Here is a 24,520-nt window from a genome sequence, read left to right as displayed (position 1 = left end):
TCCCAGCACAGTCCAGCCTATTCTCTTTTCCTCCTGAACACTTTCACTGTGGATATGTGTTAGGGAAGAGGGGAGGGAAGACAGAGACAGGGAGAGGAGACAGAGACTGAGTGATGCCTCCATTCTGCAGAGGAAAACATCAAGACCCTATCTCAGCACTCAGCACTCAGCACCCTGCTGACCCAGACAGCAGGACCAGGGCTAGGACCTATAAATGTCTCTGCCTCTCAGTGCTCTGGTCTGCCATGTGTCTGGCTGCCTCTTACATCCTGACAAGCACAATGACTGTAATTCCAAACACAGGACTGGGAGTTGGGGGTGAAGACGGAGAGAACCGAGGAGTGGGGAGGGAAACTGTAGCCTTTGGGCAGCTACTCTCTAATAAACAAAAACACAACACCAGAAAGGGCTTGTGGAAAAGAAACACAAAACGGAACCCAATTACTGACATACGGCCCTCTGTTCTATATTCACCCGCACTTTCTTAGCCGAAATGCCATTGTGAACGTGCAATCTGGTATCCTGATGTTTGTCCTGACTACGTTACCGTATCTTCACCTTTCTAATTTTAATTGCTTCTGATGGCCCATCAGATTGGTAGAGCCCTAATTATTTAAAGAGCCTAATTCTCCCTGATAAAAGGTTGGAGTCCTGTATCAAAAGCTTTTAGCTTTCTGTAACCAAGGGGGAAAACATGCTTCTTTCGAAAGATGACAAAATGTCTAGCTTCGAAGGGTCATTCGAGTATGGCACACAAAACGGTCTGCATTCACAGAAAATGATGCCATTACACAAATCTCCCACTGTGCCACATGGTGACACCATCATTCCAACACACTGCCTCCCAGACCCAGTAATTTTTGCAAAATTAATTACTGCACTTTACACTGAAAAGATCCCATCAAATAATGTATGTACACAGGAAGGTAACGGGCCCAGAGCCGTGGGAGGCAAAATGGCGCTGTTCTCAGTTTCCCCTTCCACCCTACTGGGCTCCGAAGCCAGCATTGCTTCAGACACCAAAGGTGCCCATGTGGGGCTCAAGCCTGGTGTCCAATAAATATGTGTGTCATTGACCTAATGCACGTCCAGCCAATGGAAACCTCACACTTCTGACTTCGGTTTTAAGGTTCTAATCTTGAAGTCTTAACAGTTTACACATATTGACCTGAGGATATTGGATACTTTTAATTAGAGAGGGTTGAATTCCTCTAAAGGACTTCATGGACGAAGAAGACAGCTAGAACCCCTGGTTTCCTGCTCCTCAGTGGAGATTCCAGGCAGGAGGCAGGCAGCAAACACTTGCATTCCTGCGAAGCGCCAGGCATGGTGCTGGGCGCGGGAAAGACACCAGTGAAGACGCAGGTACGCGCAGCCCTGAACATCCCTGCTGCAGCCACAGGGCCCGGCCCCACCACGGAGCTCTGTGAACTCAGGGAAGGTGGTGCAACTCAGGCGCCCCTTGCTCATGTGTAAAATAGGGATAAGTCATTGCCCAGGATCACTGAGGCCCTGCCACATAACAAAGAGTCATTAATGCTAGTTATTCTCACTAGGATTGGAAAGGTTTGTACTTACTCAATTTATGTGGACTTTCTATAAATACTGTATTGATATTCACCTCACCACAGGCAAAAAGGACGCAGCTTTCACATGCAGCCTACCCTAAGGATGCACCTGGACTTCCCAGTACACTCAGCTCCACCAGGCACCAGGACCTTCAGAAGCCACAACCTGTGACTAAGACAATGAGTCACTCTTGGTGTGTGGCACAGTGTTCTGTGGCAGTGGGGACTTAGTCATGGTAAGTCCGCCATTCAGAGTTATGGAGCTTATTTCAGATTGAGTGAAAATCAATTTAAGTTTCCAGACATGTCTTGGGACAACAGAAGATACATAAAGAGGCAGAAGAAGAGAAAGAAAAAAAAAAAAAAAAAAAAAACAGCCTGAGACAGAAGATATCCAAGCAAGTAGAAAAAACAAACAAACAAACAAACAAAAACAGCCTGAGAAATACTTTCTTCATTCAAGGCCCGGGGAGTCGGGAATATAGAAAAGAGAAAGAGATTTTCAATTGTATCTTATAATTAAATAATATACACTCTACTGAGAGAAGAAAAAGCAGCCCATCACATAATATCGTTCTTGCCACCTGGACTCCTATCACTATAAAAAGGCATTTTCCGTTCCCCTAACAAAGCCACCCAAAGAATATCTGTGTAATTTTGGGCAAATCGGGTTTTGCTCACTTTTGAGCATTAACTAGATAAAGCAGCTTCACCAAGAAAGGTCCCTGAAAAACATGGTGGAGATGGTGGAGGCCTGACACAATGGCTCATGTCTGTAGTCCCAGCTCTTTGGGAGGCCAAGGCAGGAGGATCACTACAGGAGGCCAGGAGTTCAAGGCCAGTCTCGGCAGCATAGTGAGATCCTGTCTCTACAAAAATAATAATAATAATAATAATAATAATTAGCTGGTCATGATGGTGCATTCCTGTCTTCCCAGCTACTCAGAAGGTTGAGGCAGGAGGATCACTTGAGCCCAGGAGTTTGAGGCTGCAGTGAGCTATGATGGCACCACTACACTCTGGCCTGGGTGACACAGCCAGACATAAGTACTCTTCGTGGTCTACGGGAGAGTACAATATTTGGAATTAAGATCTGTTTTGCTCCTATCACAATCACGTATGCACCTCATGCCCTTACCTAACTTACTTTTCTTTCTGAGTCTTTCTCCCCACTTCCAAAATGAGGACACGCCTCTCTTGGGATCATGTATTTAGGCTTGGAGATAAGAAGTGTAAAGCTCTTAGAATACAAAATGTTTTCAACAAATGGTAGCTATGATCATCTTAATATACGGAATTTTACCATAATTTCACATCTGACAGAAAATTCCCCTGAAATTAATACGTGAATGTGAATATGTTCTCTCATCTCTAGCTACAAGCAATAGTCTTCTATGTCAGGGAAAATCAAGTACTAACATAGAATCAGAATAAAATGGTAAAAGAATGGGGACACTGAGATATTCTCGAGGAATAACCTACTTACTGTAAGGGTTTGTAAATCTGTGGCAGCTAAGACCAGGCCCTCTGAGTACATCTGGAGGTGAACTTCCTTAAAAGAAATGCGTCCAAATGCTCCAACAGGTTCAAGATCGTATCACCGAAGGGTAAAGCTCTTTACAGAGTCTACAAAAAAATTGTGACTTCAGCTCTGCCAGGGAAAGAGTGCCCAGGCGACCCGCCATGGCGGGCTTCCCCAGGGACAGCCCAGGTGTGACCCATGTGGGCTCGAGGCCACCATATTTGATGCCACCTGCAGAGCTGAGGGCAGCTGTCTCCTATTAACCCGAGGTTGCAGCAACCAAGCCGCGTTCCCCACATAATATTGGTTTCCAAAGTATCATTTTCCCCAGAAAAGAAGAGGCGTGGACTTACTAACCTTCAATATGTCTAACTCCTCCCAGGTGGCAAAACCAGGGTAACAGAGAACACCGCGATTCTGCCAATGTATCCTAATCTCACATGCCTGTACACAAACTCCCGCGCATTTTAGCAAGCTTTTGGACATGGAGCTCAAAGGAATGACCCATAAATATTTTCCAATACATGCAGTATCTTAATTTTTTTTCTTTCTTTTTTTTTGTAGACACAGAGTCTCACTATGTTGCCCAGGATGCTCTGGAACTCCTCGGCTCAAGCGAGCCTCCTGCCTCGGCCTCCCAAAGCACTGGGATGACAAGCATGAGCCACCGTACAAGGCCCACAGCACCTAAATTCCAAAATAACCTTGAAACCCTGACTTTCCACCCGCCCTGGTGGCTTCCAGAGATCAGTTCCTCTTCCTGTGCCAAAGGTTTCTTGTCTTTCGCGGCCCAGGTAAGGTCACTCAAGGTGCTCCCTCTGCTTCTGAAGGCCTTTGACTGAGAAGCCACTCTGGGTCCTATCCCGACCCCAAGGCGGCTCCATTCGTACCCGCACATCTCCGGGCCGGTTTAAGTCACGCGGGCCAGGCTATTTCCACTTCACTCTCCTGTTTCTTCAATCCCATCCTCTGCTGCATCACGTTTTCTTTCTCTGAGAACCCAGCCCTGCAGGAAGAACGTTGATGCTGGGGTCCTTTTACTGGAATGCTAACGCCAGAGCACTTCCCGGGGGCGCTGCAGGGCGGGCTGCGGGGCGGGGCCTGGCGCTGCCACCCGGGTCTCCCGCGGGGGGCGCTGGGCCTGGGGAGGCTGCGCTGCGGGCCTGGGGAGCGCGCGGCGCACGGGTGTCGGGGCCGGGGCTCGTGGAGACGACGGGCCGGGCATCACGTAGGCGCTCGTGGCGGGCGGGGCGGCGCCCACAGCGCCTCAACCTGCGGCACCCGCGCCCGCCCCGCGCGCTCAAGGGCGAAGGGAAGGTCACCCGCGCAGTGGGCAGGGGGTGCATCCCCGCTCCAACCCTGTGCAGTGCGCGGCCCCGAAACGGGAGGAAATCCGCCATCCGGGCCTTTCCACGCATCTGCGGCAGGAGGAACCGGGAAAACAAAAATCAAAACCCAGCTCGGGGCGCGCCGCGTCTCCAGCCTGCGCGATCGCTAAGGCTCCCAGGTTGCGTTCGCCTGGGAAGCGCCGATCTACCCGCCAGGGATTGCACGGATCGGGACACTCCATCATCCGGGCACCGGCGCCCCCACGTGCACCCGGGGCCTGGGGCGCGCCGAGTCTCCGCCACCTTCCGCTCTTCAATGTTAAATATCCTCCCGGCGCGCCCGCGTCCGTGGGCCCAGCCTCGGGCCCCTCCTAGAGAGCAGCTTCCACATTGCAGGGCAGGGAAGCCCGGAGCCCGCGCCGCGGCGCCGCTGACATCCCGGAGTCCCCGCTTCCTGATCCTTCCCGTCTGCGGAGGCTGGCGGGGAGGGCCTGGGACCCATTTTGGTTTTCGTTTTTGTCACGAGCCGGAAGGCGACAGCACATGCGAGCGCAGGAAACCCTTTTTAAAAATCTCCCAGCGGAAACGCGAGGGGCTGCCGGACCGCCCTGGAGACGCCAGGCGGGAACCCCGCGCACCCCCGCCGCGTCCCGCATTGCAGCAGCCAGGACCCCGCCCACGCCGCGCAGGGCACGAGGCGACAGGAGGCGCGCGGGGACCCAGCCGTTTCTTCCTCGACATTCTAGGGGGTGGCGTGCGGCGGAGTTGGGGGGCGGGGGGGCACTTAGGAAGTGATCGCGCTGTACCCACGCTTCGGAGGGGACGCCCGGCCCCGTCCTACAGCTCAGAGGCAGAACGACCCCCGAGGGCGCTTCAGGCGACTCCCTCTGCCAGGTTCCATTTAAAACAAAACCGAAGGTGGAAAACTCACTGATCTTCCGGATGGAGGTTCCTACCGCCATGTCCCTTCCTCCCCCGCCCCACCGGGCAAGGACCCCGGGGCTGCCTCGCCGGCTCATGCCGCCCCGCAGGTACCCCTGCCGCTTCCGGGCGCGGGCTTCTTCCCGGTTCTCCCCATCGCTTCCCCGCTCTTCTCCCCGGTTCTCCCCATCGCTTCGCCACCTTTCCCCGGGTCCCCCCCATCGCTTCCCCCCTCTTCTCTCCGGTCACCCCATCGCCTTCGCCCGGTTCTCCCCAGCTCCGTCCGTCCGTCCCTCCCTCGCCGCCGGGAGGGGGGCGCGCACCTTGAGCATCCCCGCCGCTGGTCAGCACGCCGATGGCCTTGCCGGCCCCGGAGAGGTGCTCCAGGAACTTCCGCAAGGAGCCCTTGGGGGCCCGGGAGTCGTCCGCGTCCATGGCGAGGAGGCCGAGGGGAGCCGCACGTCCGGGTGCGCAGCAGGCAATGGGGACCCTGCCCGCGCGCGCCTGACTCGGAACCGCCGCCCCGCCCGCGCCCCCGCCCGGCCCCAGCGCCAATGGGCGGTGACGGGCGGGGCCCGAGCGTATGGGAGGGGCTGCGGGGGAGGGGGCGCGGGCGCGGCTAGGGGCAGGGGCCGGGGCTGGGGCGGGTGTGGGCAGGAGCATCTACGCGGGGGTCGTCGTAGGTGGGGGCCGCGCTAGCGGTGCGGGAGGCGGCAGAGGCAGGGGTAGCGCCACAGGTGGGCGGGTCCCTGCTAGTGGGGCCGCATCGCAGGTGCGCGAGCCTCGCGGGTGGGCTGGAGGACTCTGGTTGGGGGCTCTAGAGATGACGGGAGCGCCACAGGTGGGGCAGGGGCAGCGTCCGGAGGAGGGGAGACCGCAGGGGGCCGGGGTCACATCGTTTGCGGGGCGCGCCAGGGCGGGGCGGGATAGAACGCCGGGAGCATCTCCCGGGGGGGCGAGGGAGACCGTGAGTGGGCGCGAGCGCCGGGGCGGGTGGAAACCCCGCAGTTGCGGGGAGCGCCGATGGCGGGGAGGGGTGGAATGGGGGCGCGGAGACCCCACCTGGACGCGGAGGCTCGCGGCAGGCCCGGCCGCTCGGGCCGTTGTGGGGGCCGAGCCCGGCCGCGCGCACAGCTTCTAGTGGCCCGCAAGATTCCTCCTGGGGCGGCGCTGGGAGCCTCGGGGCTCGGCTTCCTCGACCCCCGCCCCCAGGTTTCCTCTGCAGCCTGAGGTCGGGAAGGACGGACGGAGAGTGGATCCTCCAGGTGGTGGGAAAAGGTGAGCGTGGCGGGCTGGGCCATGACGAAGCTGCCATTTCCCGGGCCCATGGGGGCTGTGGTGCTCCTGGGCCCCCAGCCCCGCCCTTGGGGGGAAGAAGCCGTGGGGTGGAGGAAGGTATCGGGGCGCGACCCTCAGAGACGCCCTGGCGGCGCCCCGGCCTGGGCGCTGGAAAGTCAGAGTGGGGCAGGAGGAGGCGCAACAGGACTGGCCTGGCGGGGAGGCGGGGAGGCGGGAGGACCCTCCCTCCCCACGGACACGCGCGCTGCTGTACGCTCTGCCTGACCTCGGCCGGCTCCACTGGCCAGCTCCACGTACTGAAATACTCACATCCAATGCACTGTGCGGTTGCCCATCCACAGCTTAACAGCCTGGTGCCAGTTACCCTGCGATGGGAGAGGGGGCAGCCCCCATAGAAGCACGGGCTTATGGGACCCGGGTTCCTTCAGTGCTCACCCACGAAGAAGGGCTCCCAAACGGCCCCACTCGACGGCTCACCGGAGGATGGTCCTGCGCAGTGGGTGTTTGTTGAACAGATAAGAGACAACAAAACAGACTAAGAAGAGGCCTGTTCTATGAACCGGGGAAAGTGAAGGAATCACAAAGAGCGGCTCGCCTTAGGGCAATCCTGGGGAAAAGATGGAGAGGCATGGATTTTTCTTGGATGTGTGCCTCATCCTGGGGCTCATCCCTCTGAGCATCAAATATTCATTGCAAAAGAGGGGGAAAAACTCTGCTGCGGACAATGCTGGATGGTCTGATCTCTCCCTTGGCCAGAATTAACGGGGCAATTCCTAACCCCTGTTGGTCCTCAGAATCACCTGGCCTATGCACACTCCCGCTAAACCACTGAAGTCCAATTTCTGGGAGCTCAGCCAGGGAATGTGTATTTTTAAACAAGCCCCCTAGGTTACTCTGATAAGTGCAAAGTCAGAGAGCGCTGCTCTCATGCACTGAGCCTGAGCACTCTTCTATTAATAAAAAAGGAGAGGAGAATCCTGGGTTGGGTGCCCTTCGCCTTCTGGCGGCAGAAGAGCAGAGCCAGGCTCTAAGCACCTGCACCCACCGCTGGGCTCAGGAGCTGCGCTGGAGAATAGAAGGGCTAATTTAGTCATTCATGCCTTTTTAGAGCAAATTACATGTGGAGAGGGTGGGGCACACTGAATTTTATTTTAGCCAAATGCCCCTTATCTCCTTATGCAATTGATATTTTTATATTGAACATTAGAGGATTGGTCATTTGTCATCAAGTCGTCTGTAATACAGAAAACGATAAATACAACCTAACAGTTCAAACATGACGAGTTAAATAAATGATGGTTAAAAATATACGCTGCGATAATATTTAATTGCTGTTACCACTACGAAGATAAGTGTCGACTGACATGGAAATATGTTCAGGTCAAACAAATAAATGAAAAGGCAGGCCTGGACACAGTGTGAGCCTGTGCTTGCATGTGCGCACGTGTGCGTGTAAGTGTGTGTGTGAGTGTGCACACACGTAAATGTTTCTGAGCATTTTATTTCCTTTCTTTTGCTTAGTATAGGTAATGCCATTTTTCTCTCCAATGAACAGGTATTGTTTGGGGAATAGAAATAGTTAATTAAAAACAATAAAATTTAGAGTGTCCAGATCCCCAGGGTTATGGATTATGTTCAAAAGTTTGTCTGTATGTAAGGGCTGGGGTCAGGGTGGTCACTGACCGTCCTCACACATCTATTCTCATGAGTTTGACCCATTGCTCAGTCAGTCAAGGAATTAACATATATTTATATATACCTGTAGCTAAGATGGAAAAGCATAGCTATGGCTCTTTTTTTTTTTTTTTTTTTTTTTTTTTTTTGCAAGTCGTGTATTTTAATGGTGCTACAACTAGAGATTTTTTTTTTGTTGTTTAATCTTTGGCCTGAGCAATGAATCTTCTAATTCAAGAGGAAGATACTGCATGCCTTGTTGACTGTACGGCTTCCACCCAGTAGGACCTGACATGTGTGTTTGTTCTTTATTGTCCCTTGACAGATTACTGCAAACTGTGGCCCACACCAGCACACACTTATACCACAGGAATGATTACTCCTTGGACCAGGAGTTCAGACAGGCTTCACTGGGCCCTCTGCCCCAGGGGCCCTCTGTGGCTGCAACAGGTGTCTGCCCAGGGCTACAGTGTCTTCTGAAGGCTCAGGCTCATCATGGGAGGAGCTGCTTCCACGCTCACTCCTGTGTTGCTGGCAGGATTCTGTTGCTTGCAGGCTGTTGGACTGAAGGCCCCAGTCTGTCCCTGGCATCAGCTTCAGGCTGCCCTCTGCCCTGGGCAGGTGACTGGCTTTGCCAGAACTAGCACATGTCAAGAGCCAGGGGGAGAATTCCAGTGGACGGAACCTGCAGCCCTTCCCAATCCAATCTCAGGAAAGACCGCCGTCTCTTTTGCCTGATTCTGTTCATTAGAAGTGAGCAACGGAGTCCAGCCCTCTTCGAGGATCTGGCTGTGAACACTAGGGGCAGGGGCCACGGGGAGCCACTGGGAGGGGAGGTGCTGCCTGGGACCTGCCTAGGACAAGGTGAAGGAGAACATGCATAGGGACAGATGCCCTTCCCACTTCCCCTCTGCGGTGAGCGCAGGAGCTGCCCATGTGCCCTAAAGGAGTCCTGCCATCCCAGGAGGAAAGCAGCTCCTAGCCATGAGGGCACCATAACCCTGTGTTCCGGCATGTTGGGCTGCACATTCCACCACCAGGGCTACCTGAGCTGCAGCCTCTTCCCTTCCCCTGCTGTTTCTGCCTGTGCATGGAGTAGGCATCTCAAATCTGCAGGGGCCAAACTGAGCTTAGGCCTCTGCACCCCCACGCAACCCCCCACCCCTCGGTCTTCCTCACCTCAGCTCCTGGTGACCCCATCCTCCCAGGGTCTCAGGCTGAAGCCTTGCAGTGCTCCTCTACCCTGGCATCCAAGTCTCTCAGGAAGGTCCCTCCTGGCTCTTCATTGCATCTGGAGCCACTGGGGCCAAGCTACCACCTGTGACCTGGACTGACACAGGCTCCCTCCCCATCCCCTGCTCTGCCCCCACCTCCACCCCACCTCCATGCCTCGGGTGTCCTCAGCTTCAAAGTCAGGGTGCACCTATCAGGATGTAATTCAGGCATCTCCTCTGCTGACTTGGGAGTCACAGGCCCCACACATGGCCCACTGGTCCATCGGATCCTAGTGCTGCCCAGAGACCCATGCAGGCACCCGACAACCTCAGGCCCAGCCTGCTCTTTCCTCAGCCCGGGCCCTCCTCTCCCTACCCACTCTTCCCACCTTCCTCAGGTCTGTCCTGCAAGGTCTCCTGCATGGTGAGGCCTCCCCAGATCACCCTGTTAGAAATTCGGGCTCCATGCACACTCCTGTTCCCTCCCCGCTTCTCTTAAAACAGCCTCATGCGTGTCACACGTGGGGCATTTCACCTATCTGCTGGGCTTCTCGACAGGCCCCCCTGCTGAACTCTGAATGCTGTGGATTCAGAGATCTTTGACTATTCCCTGTTGCAGGCCCAGGGCAACAGCAGAGCCCAGGACAGAGTGAACCTGCCATGGGTGCTGCTGAATGAATGGAGTGAGTGAGTGAAGGAGTAAATGAGTGAATGGGTGAGTGAGTGAGTCAGTGAATGAGTGAGTGAGTGGATGAGTGAAGGAGTAAGTGAGTGAGTGGGTAAATGAGTGAGTGAAATGAGTGGGTGAATGAGTGAACGTGAGTGAGTGAATGTGTGAGTGAGTGAATGGGTGAATGAATAAGTGAATGAACGAGTGACTTAGTGAATAAGTGAGTGAATAAGTGAATGAATCAATGACTTAGTGAATGGGTGAGTGAATAAGTGAGTAAGTGAATAAGTAGTGAATAAATGAGTGAATGAGTGAGTGAGTGACCGAAGGAGTGAATGAGTGAGTGAGTGAATGAATGACTCAGTGAATGGGTGAGTGGGTGAATGAGTGAGTGAGCAAATGAGCCGGTGAGTGAGTGAATGGGTGAGTGAATGAGTGCGTGAACAAGTGAATGAGTGAGTGAACAAGTGAATGAGTGAATGAACGAATGAGTGAATGAGTCAATAAATGAGTGAGTGTATGAGTAAAGGGTGAGTGAATGAGTGAGAGAGTGAATGATTGAAGTGAATGAGTGAGTGAAGAGGTGAATGAGTGAGTGAGTGAATGAATGAATGAGGGAATGAGTGAGTGAGTGAATAAGTGAGTGAATGAGTGAATGGATGAGTGAGTGAAAGGGTGAGTCAGTGAATGGCTGAGTGTGTGAATGAGGGAGTGAGTGAATGAGGGAGTGAATTGAAGGGATGGGTTGCCCCTCCACACCTGTGGGTGTTTCTCATTAGGTGGAACGAGAGACTTGGAAAAGAAAGAGACACAGAGACAAAGTATAGAGAAAGAAAAAGGGGCCCAGGGGACTGGCGTTCAGCATACAGAGGATCCATGCCGGCACTGGCCTTTGAGTTCCCTTAGTATTTATTGATCATTATTGGGCATGGCAGGATAATAGGATAATGGTGGAGAGAAGGTCAGAAGGTAAACACGTGAACAAATGTCTCTGCATCATAAACAGGGTAAAGAAAAAAGTGCTGTGCTTTTGATGTGCATATACATAAACATCTCAATGCCTTAAGGAGCAGTATTGCTGCCAGCATGTCCCACCTCCAGCCTTAAGGCAGTTTTCCCCTATCTCAGTAGATGGAATATACAATCGGCTTTACACCGAGACATTCCATTGCCCACGGAGGAGCAGGAGACAGAAGCCTTCCTCTCATCTCAACTGCAAAGAGGCGTTCCTTCCTCTTTTACTAATCCTCCTCAGCACAGACCATTTACGGGTGTCGGGCTGGGGGACGGTCAGGTCTTTCCCTTCCCACGAGGCCATATTTCAGACTATAACATGGGGAGAAACCTTGGACAATGCCTGGCTTTCCTAGGCAGAGGTCCCTGTGGCTTTCCGCAGTGCTTTATGTCTCTGGGTACTTGAGATTAGGGAGTGGTTTGAGATTAGGGCGTGGTGATGACTCTTAACAAGCAAGCTGCCTTCAAGTATGTGTTTAACAAAGCACACCCTGCACAGCCCTTAATCCATTTAACCCTGAGTTGACACAGCATGTGTTTCAGGGAGCACAGGGTTGGGGGTAGGATTACAGATTAACAGCATCTCAAGGCAGAAGAATTTTTCTTAGTACAGAACAAAATGGAGTCTCTTATGTCTACATCTTTCTACACAGACACAGTAATAGTCTGGTCTCTCTTTCTTTTCCCCACAGTGAATGAGTGAGTGAATGAGTGATCGAGTGAGTGAGTCAATGGGTTAGTGAATGAATGAGTGATTGAGTGAGTCAATGGGTTAGTGAGTGAATGAGTGATTGAGTGAGTGAATGAGTGATTGAGTGAGTCAATGGGTTAGTGAGTGAATGAGTGATTGAGGGAGTGAGTCAATGGGTTAGTGAGTGAATGAGTGATTGAGGGAGTGAGTCAATGGGTTAGTGAGTGAATGAGTGATTGAGTAAGTCAATGGGTTAGTGAGTGAATGAGTGATTGAGTGAGTGAGTCAATGGGTTAGTGATGAATGAGTGATTGAGTGACTGAATGGGTTAGTGAATGAGTGAATGAGTGAGTGAATGAGTGATCGAGTGAGTGAGTCAATGGGTTAGTGAATGAATGAGTGATTGAGTGAGTCAATGGGTTAGTGAGTGAATGAGTGAGTGAGTCAATGGGTTAGTGAGTGAATGAGTGATTGAGGGAGTGAGTCAATGGGTTAATGAGTGAATGAGTGATTGAGTGAGTGAATGAGTGATTGAGTGAGTGAGTCAATGGGTTAGTGATGAATGAGTGAATGAGTGACTGAATGGGTTAGTGAATGAGTGAATGAGTGAGTGAATTGGTTAATGAGTGAATGACTGAGTGAAAGTGAATGAATGAGTGATTGAGTAAAAGGGGGTGAATGAGTAAATGAGTAATGAGTGAGTGAGTGAATGAGTGAGTGACCGAATGAGTGAGTGAATGAATGAGTGAGTGAATGAATGAGTGAGTGAATGAGTGAGCGGGTCGCTCAGAGGAGGTGAGGACCGGAGCTGCCCTCTGACTGCTTCAGGAGACAGGAGCTGAGGGAGGAGCCTGAAGGGTGGGTAGGAGGTGCCCACTCAGTACTTATACCCTGCCTGACACATCCCCAGAGAAACCCAATCTCACCAGAGTGGTCTCTTGAGAATTATCAGTAACAACCTTTTTTCCCAGTATTTCATATATTCAGGGTGATTTCTTACTTTCCTTTAAAATGCCAATTGCTTTTCGGACTTGGAATTCTCCACTGTTGCTCCACGCCACTGTATCTCCCATAGGGGCGTCCCCCGTCATTCCCAGGAATGGATAAAAGCCAGAAGGGCGGCATCAGGTGGGGCCCCTTCTCCTATCATCCTCCCCTTCCTGCTTGCGTTACCCTAAGTGACTTGTTTTGGAAGTCTACAAAACGCAGACACATCAAATTTGGATAAAAGCGTAAGCAATTTAAGAGGTTGCAGTGCTAGCGGGAAGGTCTTTGGCTGCCGGCACCCTCCTCCCCTCCAGACCCTGCTGGACCCAGGACTCTGACTCTGCCTTCGGCCTTGGGGGTTTCATTCCTTCTTTCCTTGCCAGCCACTGAGCTGCCTTGGGCTAATCTGCAACCACAGAGGGGCAACCATCCTCCTTTCCTCTTGCCTCTTCCTCCCTTCTTCTCACTTTCCTTCTGCTTCTTTCGGGACTTTGGAAAGTTCAAGAATAAGCAAAACTGTAGATCAGAAAACGCTGCCTTCAGCCTATTCTCCTCCCACCAGCTTCCCTGCAGATTCTTTGATCTTTAAAAAGTATTTTGCTTTGTATCTAGATGCTAAACTTTATATAGAAAACAGGTGGGGTTGGTTTCTCGGCCGGGTACAGTGGCTCACACCTATAATCCCAGAGCTTTGGAGGCCAAGGCAGGAGGATTGCTTGAGGTCAGATGTTTGAGACTAGCCTGGGCAACATAGGGAGACCTCGTCTCTACAAAATCCAAAAAAATTAGCCTGGAGCGATGGCACACCTGTAGTCCCAGCTACTTGGGAGGCTGAGGCAGGAGGATCACTTGAACTCAGGAGTTTGAGATTACAGTGAGCTATGATTACATCACTGCACTCCAGCTTGAGCAACAGAGTGAGACACTATCTCCCAAAAAAGTAAAAATAAAAAGTGCTGGAGTCCATATCGAAGCCCACAGCCAATTGTGACATGTGAATCTTTTATTTTTATAATCTGCCTCTCTTGTCTAAGTGCCAAATGATGCTCACATTGTGTGTAACTACTTCCACCTTTGTCTGGCTTCTTTTTCCTTAAGTATGCAGAATCAGGTTGCATAGAGTTCTGAGAAAATAAAATAAATCCGCTGTGTGCTGTGGCTCATGTCTATAACCTCAGCACTTTGGGAGGCTGACACAAGGATTGCTTGAGACCAGGAGTTTGAGGTCAGCCTCGGCCACATAACGAGATCCTGTCTCTATAATAAATAAATAAATAAATAAATAAATAAAACATTAGCAGGACATGGTGGCACAGCTGTTGTCCCAGCTACTCAGGTGGTGGAGGCCTGAGGATTGCTTGAGCCTGGGAGGTTGAGACTGCAGTGAGCCGTGATCATACTACTACACTTTGGCCTGGGTGAAACAGTGACACTCTATTTCTAAAAAAATAAAGTAAAAATAAAAACAGTTGGAAGCTTCCCAAGACTTTGATGCAGAAACAGGTTGCCCTGAACCAATTAAAATTAATATCTAAAAACTGGAAAGAAAGGAAAGAAAGAAGTTTGCATTATTTCTGTAAAGTATGATGCCATTACAAGTTTTACTTTCTCTGGGACATTTTCTCAGTGGTGTCAACTGAAGTCCACTTCACAGAATGACTTCATCTCCTGAGCACTTTGGAGAACGACGATTAAAGAGACTTCCTGGCACTCCTGATACTTTTAGTGTCATATGGAAGCAGCAAGAGTCATATGTGTTAAATCCGTGGTATTAAAGCAGAAGACATTGGTTTGTTCTTTCATGAACATTGTCAGAGCATTTCCCTAATGACTAGCGTTATGTCAGAAAATGGGGGGAGAGAGATGGTTCTTTATTGGCAAATAAGTTACATAAATTTCCCAGTTAGAAAAACAATCATGATTTTAGCCATGTCAGATGAGGTCAGAGATGCCCTATGCCTCAGTTATGGAATGCTAAATCTGAATATTGGTTGACAGGTATCTTCCACGGACCTGTGACCTGTCGCTGTGTACAAGCTTGAATTCCTAACTACGAGTCCTTGAAGCTCCCTTGCTGCCTGAGCGGAACTGAAATGGCTCCCGGCTGAGGCATTCAAGGGAAAACTCACTGAAATATTTGAAACTACCACCATGAACAAGAATGCTCTTCCAGTGTGCCAGGATGTACACCCAGAGCATTATCCTCATTAGTTGTATATGCCAGCATCCGGCAGGCGCTTTTATCTTCTTTGGGTGTCAACTTTGAGATTCTTATGTAAGCTGCGACCTCTTCCTCTGCCTGCAAGCACATCCACCCACAACCACGTGTTGCCTGGTTTAGAGCCTGCGGCTGGGTCCACCTGCAGGAGGAGGAGTGACTGGTGCAGTGAAGCTCAGACCAGGTACAGGATCAGAGCTGCGGTCACACGTCCGGGGCAGACAGCTCTGCATTCTTGGGAGGGCCCAGGTACCCTCTTCTCTTGGAAGGCCAAGCCCAGAGCCTAGGTGGTCTTTGAACCCAAATAGACTTTGTAGTCCAGGGAATGGGAGCCTCGCTCACCAGGGGAAGAAATTAGGGATCTTGGTCCTGAGTTTGTGGGGTAGACTTTGCCATTTTCCTCCCCCTTTCCCGGCCATGCCCTGTTTGAAAAGAGGTCACTTCCATTTCAGTGAGCCAAGATCGAGCCACTGCACTCCAGCCTGGGCAACAGAGTGAGACCCTGTCTCAAGGAAAAAAAAAAAAGAAAAGAAAAGAGGTCACTTCAAAACTTCCCTGTTCAAACAGTTGACCCTTGAACAGCAGGGTTTGAACCGCATGGGTCACTTACTTACACATGGATTTTTTTCACTTCTGCCACCCCTTAGACAGCAAGACCAACCCCTCCTCCTTTCCTTCCACATCCTCCTCCTCTGCCTACTCAATGCAAAGGTGAGGAGAAGAACCTCTATGATGAGGCACTTAATGAATAGTCAACACATTTTCCTTAGGATTGCTTTATTTCCTCTAGCTTACTTTACTGTAAGAATACACTATACAATACATATAACATACAAAATTTGTGTTAACCAATTATCTGCGTGATCACTGAGGCTTTTACCCAAGAATAGGCTATTCTTGGGTAACGGTCAATCCGTTTTTGGGTAGTCAAAAGTTATTGGCTGAATTTCGACTGTGTGGCGGGTTGGTGCCCCTAATCTCTGCATTGTTCAAGGATCAATTGTATTGCTTAAGAGGTGGTCATTGGAACACTCCTTAGGGGCTGACTATTTTTTTGTTTAAAAAAGTTTTTGCCACAGTGGGCCGCTCGTTTAAGGCCCTAAGATTCCTCACCTCTGAGCTCCTGCTACCATAGACCAAGTGCTGATCATTTTTGTTGCTCAACATACTTGTCTCTTCCATCTGCCACAGGACCCACTCTCACCTTCCAGGAACTGCTCCTTCCACTGCCTGTGGACCTGAGGGTCAGCGTGTCCAGCCAGGCCAAGTAGGGAGATCAGTCCTCTCCTGTGCCCCAGTTCATGGATGGGCACAGGATGTGGGTGGTGGGGGTGGTCCACCCGCTTCCTGCTAATCCCACTGGATCATCAGGTGGGGAGAGTCAGCTTGCATAGTGAAACCAGAGAGCTGCGAGATGGAGAGTGGGAGTGAGAAACCAACAGAGTGAGACACACACACACACACACACACACACAAAGAGGGAGAGTGAGAGAGAGAGAGAGGGTCAGAGAAGCAGAGACACAGACAGACATAGAAAGATGGAGTAAGAGATGAGGGGAAGAGAGAAACAGAGACAAACACAGAGTCTTAAAAAGAGACAGAGAGAGACAGAGCAACCAGGAGAGAGAGAGAGAGGGAGAAACAGAGACAGGCAAAGTGAGAGGCAGAGAGAGATGGAAAGAGAGATGGGGAGAAAGGCAGAGAGAAGCAAAAGCACAACGTTCCTTGAATTGCTTCTCCCTGAGGTCACCATTCTATTTCTGCACTTCCAATCACCACCAGGAATCTTTCTAAGTCACCTGTCCTCCTTCCTTCCCTGTCTTCCCCACGCACTCTTACTAAAGCCTCCTGAAATCTGCCCTCCCAATGACAACTCCTCCTTGAAATGTCACCACTGACTTCCAAACAAGCAGCAAATAAAAAAGGTTTTTAAAACACTGACTTCTACCAGTTTCTAGTTTTTCTAAAGGTTATGGTGCTGTTTCTTAATACCTCTCTCGAACATCTTTCTCTTTGTTTTTTTTGCATGAATTAACATGAAAATAGAGCACAACATATTATAGTGAATATAGACTATAAATGATGTTTTGTGCATACTTTATTACTAGTGATAAACACTGTATAAGTAATTTATTTTTGCCATTTCCTACTTACTATGGTTTGAAAGTGTCCCCCAAATTTCACGTGTTGGAAACTGAACCCCTCATGCAGTAGTGCTGAGGGGACGGATATTTAAGAGGTGATCAGGTCATGAGGGTTTCACCCTCATGAGTGGATTAATGTTTTTTGTTTGTTTGTTTGCTTTTTTTTTTTGAGATGGAGTCTCGCTCTGTTGCCCAGGCTGGAGTGTAGTGGTGCAATCTCAGCTCACTGCAAACTCCGCCTTCTGGGTTCACACCATTCTCCTGCCTCAGCTTCTAGAGGAGCTGGGACTACAAGTGCTCACCACCACGCCCGGCTAATTTTTTTGTATTTTTAGTAGAGGCGGGGTTTCACCGTGTTAGCCAGGATGGTCTTGATCTCCTGACCTCGTGATCTGCCCACCTCGGCCTTCCAAAGTGCTGGGATTACAGGCGTGAGCCACCACGCCCGGCCGGATTAATGTTGTTATTGGGGGAGTGGGTTCATTATCACAAGAGTGGGTCTGTTACAAAAGTGAGTTTGACCCCTCTTACTCCCTCATGCTCTCTTGCCCTCCCACCTTCCCGTGGGATGACACAGCACAAAGGTCCTTGCCAGATCACCCTTTAACCTTGTACTTCCCACCTCCAGGACTGTGAGAAGTGAATCTCTGTTTTTGTAAATTACCCAGTCTCAGGTACTCTGTTAAGGGAAGCAGAAAACAGGCTAAGACAAAATGTTTTAGTATCCTCTTCTCTCACAGTTGCAGTGAGAAGTTTATACTTTGTTTTGCTTTGTGGCAGATGAAGTGCTAAATAATAGGCATAATTTTGAAGGTTTCTCCTTCTATCCTAATATTTGATCCATTTAAAAGTTTCTATTACACTGAGTTGTTGACCCTTGCTTCTGATGCCTCAGAGATGTCTGGAAGAAAATCACGGAGGAAACCTCAAGTGCCATGTAGTCTGTCTTATCTAAGTGCCCTCTGGACTTCGAGAAGGCTCTTTCTGAGAACCAGGGAGCTAAGGATGTAGCCCAACTCAAGATACTTTCCTGGAAAAGCTTTCAGAACATAGCCATTCCCTGGGAGCATCACAGCTTTTAGACTTCACAACAGGCACCAGAGAGCAGTCAGAAGGCCATGGAATATTTCACCTGAATTCCTTCCAGCATTGTGTTCCAGGAAGCTAGAAACTTCCTCCCCCTCCATGTGGGTCTTAGGTTTCTCTTTCCAAACAAAAACAGACTTGTTTTTGAATTATCTCCAAGAAGACAAGGTCTTAGCATTATACATAATTGAATTGTAAATCTTCTAAATTTAGAAAGAAACAGTATGGAAATAATTCAGAAGCCCTTGAGTTTTTAGCTAGAAGACTCTGCAGTGGTGGGGGGACTCTTTGTATCCTGAAAATTCCCGGCATGCTTCTTCCACAACGATCCTTGCTTGTGTCTCTCTCCAAGCACGTCTGTGAATAACCCACTCATCCTTCCAAGCTCAACTAAAACACCATGTGACAGAAACAGTTGGTTCAACATCCATTTCCTCCTCCTCTTCTGACTGAGGCTCTGCGCTAAATGCTTCATTCCCCAGCTGTCTTTGTGCACGCATGTGGTCATGTGGGTCCATTCTGGCCCATGTGATTTAAGTAGAATTGTTGAGCACGACTTTCAAAAGGACTCCTTAAAAGGAGTTCAACTACTGAGTATGGCTTTTTTTTTTTTTTCTTTTTCCTGCTGCTTTGAATGCAGCTGTGATTGCAGGAACAAAGCTGCTATCTTGGGGCATGAGGTGATCTAGAAGATACAACCACCTTCAGTCAAAGTGCCTGAGGGAATGACAGGAGAAGCTGGGCTCTCTGATAAGATCACAGATCCAGTGCACAGGGGAGGATTGCCTCCCTTCAGATTCCTTTCATGTGAAAGGACAGACCTTTCTATGTGTAAGCCTCTGTTAGCTTGAGTCTTCCATTTTATGCAGCCAAACTTAACCCTAACTGACACACATCATCTGCTTATATTTTTGTGATGCTGTCTCTAATCTCTTAGGTAACTGTGTCCTCCCAGAAACCTATGGAGAGCTGAAGGGGTTTTAGGATTGTGGAATCCACCCTCCTCGTTTGGTAAAAGAGGACAAAGGCCACAGAGCAGTGCGCTGGCTGAGGCATGCGATTGTAAACCAAAAGGTACCTGAGACCAATCTCAATCCATTTAAAAGTTAATTCTGCCAAGGTTAAGGACATGCTCGGAAGGAAAAAACATGGAATCACAGAAACAGTCTGTGGTCTGTGCCTTCCTCCCAGTATGATTTTGAGGGCTTCAGTATTTAAAGGGGACCGGTGGGCTGGAGGGGAAGGGTGGGCTGGAGGGAAAAGGTGGACTGGAGGGGAAGGGTGGGCTGGAGGGAAAAGGTGGACTGGAGGGGAAGGGTGGGCTGGAGGGGAAGGGTGGGCTGGAGGGGAAGGGTGGGCTGGAGGGGAAGGGTGGGCTGGAGGGAAAAGGTGGACTGGAGGGGAAGGGTGGGCTGGAGGGGAAGGGTGGGCTGGAGGGGAAGGGTGGGCTGGAGGGGAAGGGTGGGCTGGAGGGGAAGGGTGGGCTGGAGGGAAAAGGTGGACTGGAGGGGAAGGGTGGGCTGGAGGGGAAGGGTGGGCTGGAGGGGAAAGAGGGAACCTGTGGTCATCCTTAGGTTGCAAGAGAAACAGAGCAGATGGGGATGGTCAGCTATGTCTTCATCTCACATGTGGTAAATCAGCCCTGTACGTAAGATAAGGTGAACATAGACCAGCTTCCTGTGGAGATATGTAACCCTTTATCTGTAGCTATCTGCTTAGGAACAAAAGGAAAGGCAGTTTCTTGCATGATTCAGCTTCCAGCTTAATTTTTTTTTCCTTTTTGGCTGTGAATTGGGGTCCCAAAGCTTTATTTTCCCCGCACACTATATTGTATCTGAAAACTGTTGTTTGGGACCTAAAATTGTTTACTTACTCCACCTACATCCCTTAGCTCAGTTTCCATTTGGAATGGCTTCCGGAAGGCTGGAATTGAAATCCACCAGTGCCCATTTCAAGGTGCTCCCAACACAGCCTGGAAAAAAGGAGCCCAGATACGCTTCCCTGTGGACGCAGGTCAGTCATCAGGACGCACAGAAACAGCGTTGCCCTTGGCCTGGAGCCATTGTCCTGAAAGGGGATCCTTCCCAACTGGGGCCTGAGACTGATCCCTGAGAAGTGGCCCCTCCATCCTGGAACCCCTCCTGCTTGTGTCTCCTTACTTCCTGGTGATCACCGCATTCAGGCTCAGAATGCCGCAGGCCTATCCCACTGGAAGCTGCCAAGGTGCCCAGCGCCCTGTTGCACTCTTGTCCCACAGGACGCCAGGCACAGCAGCAGCATCAAGGGACCAGCAGGGAAGAGGCTGCAGTGATTTGGGGAAACAGTGTGAAAATCACCTGGGGCCTGGCGACACGGGGTCCCGCCTCCTCCCCCATATTAGGTCCCAGAGAAAATGACAATATGAACAGCTCATGTCACCATTATTAGGCAGAGTCTTTATTCTTTCCTTAATCTTTGCCATTAAATTGAGCTCTATAGGACCATTTTCTGCTTTTAATGCCAATAAATGAAATTCCAGAGCTGCTTCTGTAAAAAAAAAAGTTTCATTTTCATTATTTTACTATTCGTTACATTAATTCTATTATTTTATTCTCTTTTTTGTTAGAAGAACTTCAGCCTGAGAGGGGCTATCCCTGCTGCCTTGTAGGTACAGAAGGGGAGAGAATGAGTCTCTCCAAAAAAGGGTTTCATGAAAGCACTGAGGCAAGATACTCACCTCAGAGGGTTCAGGACAAGGACACTCACTTTGTTCTGTGCGGTGTGGAGACGGGGGTGGGCATTCCTCCGTGGCACTAACTGGTTCCCTCTTGCCTTCAGCTGCCAGTGCCCTTGGACATGTCATTTGGACAAAACACTTTTCCATGTCCTGCCATCCATTCCACGGAGGCAGGAGAAAAGGGTCTGGAGGCAGGAACATAAGGCCGATTCACCCTGACTTCGGAGAACTAAATCAAATGGAAACTCTTGGGCTATGACAGGAAATATCCTCTCCATTTACACAGGGCGTACACCGAGTACATGATTTTGTAATTTTACTTCATCCTCTTTATTTACATAGAGTGTACACCAAGTAACCAATGGAAACCTCTAGAGGGTATTTAAACCCCAGAAACTTCAGTAACGGTCTCTCCATGCTCGGGCCCTCCCACCCTGTGGAGTGTGCTTTCATTTTCCATAAATATCTGCTTCTGTTGCTTCATTTTTTCCTTGCTCCATTTGTGCGTTGTGTCCAATTCTTTGTTCAAGGTGCCAAGAACCTGGACACCTTCAACCAGTAACATTATCTTACTATCTTGTTTTATTTTTTTATTTTATTTTTTTATTTTTATTTTTTATTTTTGAGACGGAGTCTTGCTCTGTCACCCCGGCTGGAGTGCAGTGGTACGATCTCGGCTCACTGGAAGCTCCGCCTCCTGGGTTCACGCCATTCTCCTGCCTCAGCCTCCCGAGTAGCTGGGACTACAGGCACCTGCCACCATGCCCGGCTAATATTTTTTTGTATTTTTAGCAGAGATGGGGTTTCACTGTATTAGCCAGGATGGTCTTGATCTCCTGACCTCGTGATCCTTCAGCCTCGGCCTCCCAGAATGCTGGGATTACAGGTGTGAGCCACCGCACCCGGCCTACGATCTTGTTTTAAAACTGAACTCAATTTTTCATCTGTTCACCTAGTTTTTAGATAATTACAATGAAATACACTTGGAATTTACCACAGCTTAATATGAGGGTCACTATGAGCTATACGACAGGTTTTATGTTTAAAAGTTTGCAACATTTTTTATTGCTCTTTCATTTACAAACTACAGTAAATGCTTTTTTTATGTTTAATTATGAAATATATGACACATAAGAGTCTATAAAACTTGGCTAGTCATGGTGGCTCATGCCTGTAATCCCAGCACTTTGGGATGCTGAGGTGGGTGGATCACCTGAGGTCAGGAGTTCAAGACCAGCCTGACCAACATGGTGAAACCCGTCTCTATTAAAAAAAATACAAAAAGTTAGCGAGCATCATGGCAGGCGCCTGTGATCCCAGCTACTCGGGAGGCTGAGGCGGGAGAGTCGTTTGAACCTGGGAGGCGGAAGTTGCAGTGAGCTGAGATCGCGCCATTGCACTCTAGCCTGGGCTACATGAGCGAAACTCCACCTCAAAAACAAACAAAGAAACGAACAAAACTGAATGCATAATCCTATAGAGTAATAATTGCACTGTTGTCATCATCCTTTAGCATCGAGTGTCTTGAAAGGCTACAATATGCCCTTCCTTGATCACCTGGGTCTCCCTTCTTCACCCATACATAGGACTCATGTGTTAATATTTGTCTTGCTTTTCATAAGGTTTATCATTTCTGTGTATATTATTAAGCAAAGTCATATGGTTTGTGTACTGTATATGGAATAGCAGTGTATTTTTCAGTAATTTCCTTTGTTCACTGTAATTTTTCATTGTTGATGCTTTTAACTGCAGTTCATTTTCACTGTTGTATAATATTGCACAATGTGAGTATGCCAACTTTTTTCCTTGATAGAGGTGTATTTGGATGGCCTTCAGGTGTTTTCTATTTCTACAATCACTGCCTAAATATTCTTGCCCCATATGTGTCTCTTGGACAAGACAGTGCAAGGGCATTTCTGGGGGGACATGCCTGAGAAGGCAAATGTGAGGCCACAGAGCTTTTTATGAAATACAGTCTCTTCACAGCTGCAACAGCAGTGGATACTTTGCCAGCAGTTGATCTTTTCCACCTTTTGGATTTTTGTGGCTCTGCTGAATTTGTTTCTTGAATTATTGGATGTATCCACAGTACTTTGTTTACTTATGTTTTGTAACTTTTTGCACCTGGACTTATCTTCCTTGGAATTTTATGTGGGGAGATATTTTGAGGACAGAGTTGCATTGTTTCAGCAAGGATTTTCTGCTCACATGGGGTAGAGGTGAAGCTAGCAGCCACCTGGTGCCACGTCAATTTGACCCATGCTCTTGATGTCTTCCAGCATGAACTCCTGGAGGACTGTTTCTCACTGGTTCTCAGGGTCAGTGGTTTTCCCTCCACCCATCACCAATGCAGGGACAGGTGCTCTCCTTGCTGCTCCTGCTCTAAGGTGGGCTTTTATTTTAAGTCTAAGATGTCAGATTTCCAACCTCATTTTGGAGAGGCGTCCGGTTTTCTTTCTTATGCCCTGTCCTCTGTGCAACTGTCTAAACAGAAAAAAAATTCCACTTTGGTTCCTGCCAATTCTTTATTGACTGCTGTGGATTCCATCCTTCAATGCCAGCCCAGTCGTGCACTTACAAAGATGTATTTTTGTAGGTTTTATCCAACAACTCAGTTGTTTTATTGGGAAAGCTACTTAGTGTCCCTTATGTTCGAAGTTGGAAGCTCCTGGCAACACCGTAGGTGAGACAGCTGCTCTTCCCCCTTTTCATCATCTTCGTGCTGGGTCCAGGCCTTCTTTGCTCTGTGATTAAGATGCCACAATGGGCTGGGCACAGTGGCTCACGCCTGTAATCCCAGCACTTTAGGAGTCCAAAATGGGTGGATCACCCAAAGCCAGGGATTCAAGACCAGCCTGGCCAACAAGGTGAAGCCCCGTCTCTACTAAAAGTACAAAAAATTAGCCGGGCACAGTGGTGGGCACCTGTAATCCTAGCTACTGCAGAGGCTGAGGCAGGAGAGTCTCTTGAACCAAGGAGGCAGAGGTTGCAGTGAGCCGAGATCATGCCATTGCAGTCCAGCCTGGGCAACAGAGTAAGACTCCATCTCAAAAAAATGTATATGAATAAATAAAAATAAAAATAAATTGCTGCTATAGCCTCTGAACTGCTTGGTCTGCCTCTGGCATCCGTTCTCATGCCCCACATTGGCAGAGATGCGCTCACACCCAGAGGGAAGGCAGGGAGACTGAAGGACTATTATTATTAACAAGAAAGACAAAATTATTCTGAGGACAATGTAATTCTGTTTCCTAGAAATAGTAAAATGCTTTGATAAATTATTAGAATTAACAAAATTCAGTTTAGCACTCATGTTCAAAATGATCACCAACTTTAATATGCCAACAGTAGCCAGACTAAGTAAGAAGAGGGAGTCAGGAGGTCCGCCCACAAGGGCTGGGCCTCTGCATAGAGGGCAGAAAGGTCGACTCACTCTGCAGCCTCCTGCTCCATCAGCATTTTCTGTGG

At 49.5% G+C, this 24,520-nt stretch overlaps 2 protein-coding genes and 1 long non-coding RNA gene across 15 annotated transcripts in view, besides 7 other annotated features; 1 reads left to right on the top strand and 2 right to left on the bottom strand.

Annotated features, from left to right (window-relative positions):
* The window catches only part of PFKP (phosphofructokinase, platelet), a 69,258-nt gene extending 63,436 nt beyond the window's left edge, over nt 1–5,822 (bottom strand). For 5 of the 12 annotated variants that reach the window (XM_005252466.5, NM_001410880.1, NM_002627.5 and 2 more), the window contains exon 1: nt 5,663–5,822. In XM_005252466.5, coding sequence (XP_005252523.1) covers nt 5,663–5,774 — 112 coding nt within the window. In that variant the 5' untranslated portion in view covers nt 5,775–5,822. Of the gene's footprint in view, nt 1–3,980; nt 4,182–4,448; nt 4,744–5,349; nt 5,401–5,662 lie in introns of those variants that run through there. The other 7 variants (XM_047425350.1, NM_001323072.2, XM_006717449.2 and 4 more) reach the window with 5 other exon arrangements.
* Nucleotides 4,104–4,303: a silencer, noted in NCBI's record as "silent region_2072". NCBI's record gives its function as "represses an Ori minimal core promoter by ATAC-STARR-seq in GM12878 lymphoblastoid cells {active_cell/tissue: GM12878}" and the evidence as "EXISTENCE:reporter gene assay evidence [ECO:0000049][PMID:35858748]".
* Nucleotides 4,390–4,570: a silencer, noted in NCBI's record as "fragment chr10:3110992-3111172 (GRCh37/hg19 assembly coordinates)". NCBI's record gives its function as "represses an EF-1alpha promoter that drives an FKBP-Casp9 reporter gene in an ReSE screen in HepG2 liver carcinoma cells {active_cell/tissue: HepG2}" and the evidence as "EXISTENCE:reporter gene assay evidence [ECO:0000049][PMID:32094911]".
* Nucleotides 4,714–4,783: an enhancer, noted in NCBI's record as "active region_2905". NCBI's record gives its function as "activates an Ori minimal core promoter by ATAC-STARR-seq in GM12878 lymphoblastoid cells {active_cell/tissue: GM12878}" and the evidence as "EXISTENCE:reporter gene assay evidence [ECO:0000049][PMID:35858748]".
* Nucleotides 4,984–5,163: a silencer, noted in NCBI's record as "silent region_2071". NCBI's record gives its function as "represses an Ori minimal core promoter by ATAC-STARR-seq in GM12878 lymphoblastoid cells {active_cell/tissue: GM12878}" and the evidence as "EXISTENCE:reporter gene assay evidence [ECO:0000049][PMID:35858748]".
* Nucleotides 5,584–5,983: a silencer, noted in NCBI's record as "silent region_2070". NCBI's record gives its function as "represses an Ori minimal core promoter by ATAC-STARR-seq in GM12878 lymphoblastoid cells {active_cell/tissue: GM12878}" and the evidence as "EXISTENCE:reporter gene assay evidence [ECO:0000049][PMID:35858748]".
* Nucleotides 5,994–6,093: a silencer, noted in NCBI's record as "silent region_2069". NCBI's record gives its function as "represses an Ori minimal core promoter by ATAC-STARR-seq in GM12878 lymphoblastoid cells {active_cell/tissue: GM12878}" and the evidence as "EXISTENCE:reporter gene assay evidence [ECO:0000049][PMID:35858748]".
* LOC124902536 (wiskott-Aldrich syndrome protein family member 1-like) lies at nt 6,022–6,800 on the bottom strand. The gene has a single exon (XM_047426132.1). It carries the CDS (start codon nt 6,665–6,667, stop codon nt 6,230–6,232), a length of 438 nt encoding a protein of 145 aa, XP_047282088.1. The 5' UTR covers nt 6,668–6,800; the 3' UTR covers nt 6,022–6,229.
* On the top strand, nt 6,437–20,876 carry PFKP-DT (PFKP divergent transcript). 2 transcript variants are annotated; one of them, NR_160681.1, is made up of 4 exons: nt 6,437–6,617; nt 14,887–15,290; nt 19,274–19,410; nt 20,228–20,876. It is a non-coding gene; the product is annotated as a PFKP divergent transcript (long non-coding RNA). The 2 variants fall into 2 exon arrangements; NR_160682.1 differs by lacking the exons at nt 14,887–15,290; nt 19,274–19,410; nt 20,228–20,876 and adding an exon at nt 6,980–8,050.
* Nucleotides 9,584–10,534: an enhancer, noted in NCBI's record as "H3K4me1 hESC enhancer chr10:3105028-3105978 (GRCh37/hg19 assembly coordinates)". NCBI's record gives its function as "activates a minimal SCP1, AML or CMV promoter by ChIP-STARR-seq in naive H9 embryonic stem cells {active_cell/tissue: H9 hESC(naive)}" and the evidence as "EXISTENCE:reporter gene assay evidence [ECO:0000049][PMID:30033119]".
* Nucleotides 20,877–24,520: the final 3,644 nt, after the last annotated feature.

The sequence above is a fragment of the Homo sapiens genome, chromosome 10 (genome assembly GCF_000001405.40).
Source record: "Homo sapiens chromosome 10, GRCh38.p14 Primary Assembly".
Taxonomy (NCBI): domain Eukaryota; kingdom Metazoa; phylum Chordata; class Mammalia; order Primates; family Hominidae; genus Homo; species Homo sapiens.
This window is presented reverse-complemented; position numbering and strand designations above follow the sequence as displayed.

Excerpts from the sequence above, each read along its gene's own strand:
- LOC124902536 (XM_047426132.1), bottom strand. The coding sequence starts at position 6,667 with ATGGGCCCGGGAAATGGCAGCTTCGTCATGGCCCAGCCCGCCACGCTC.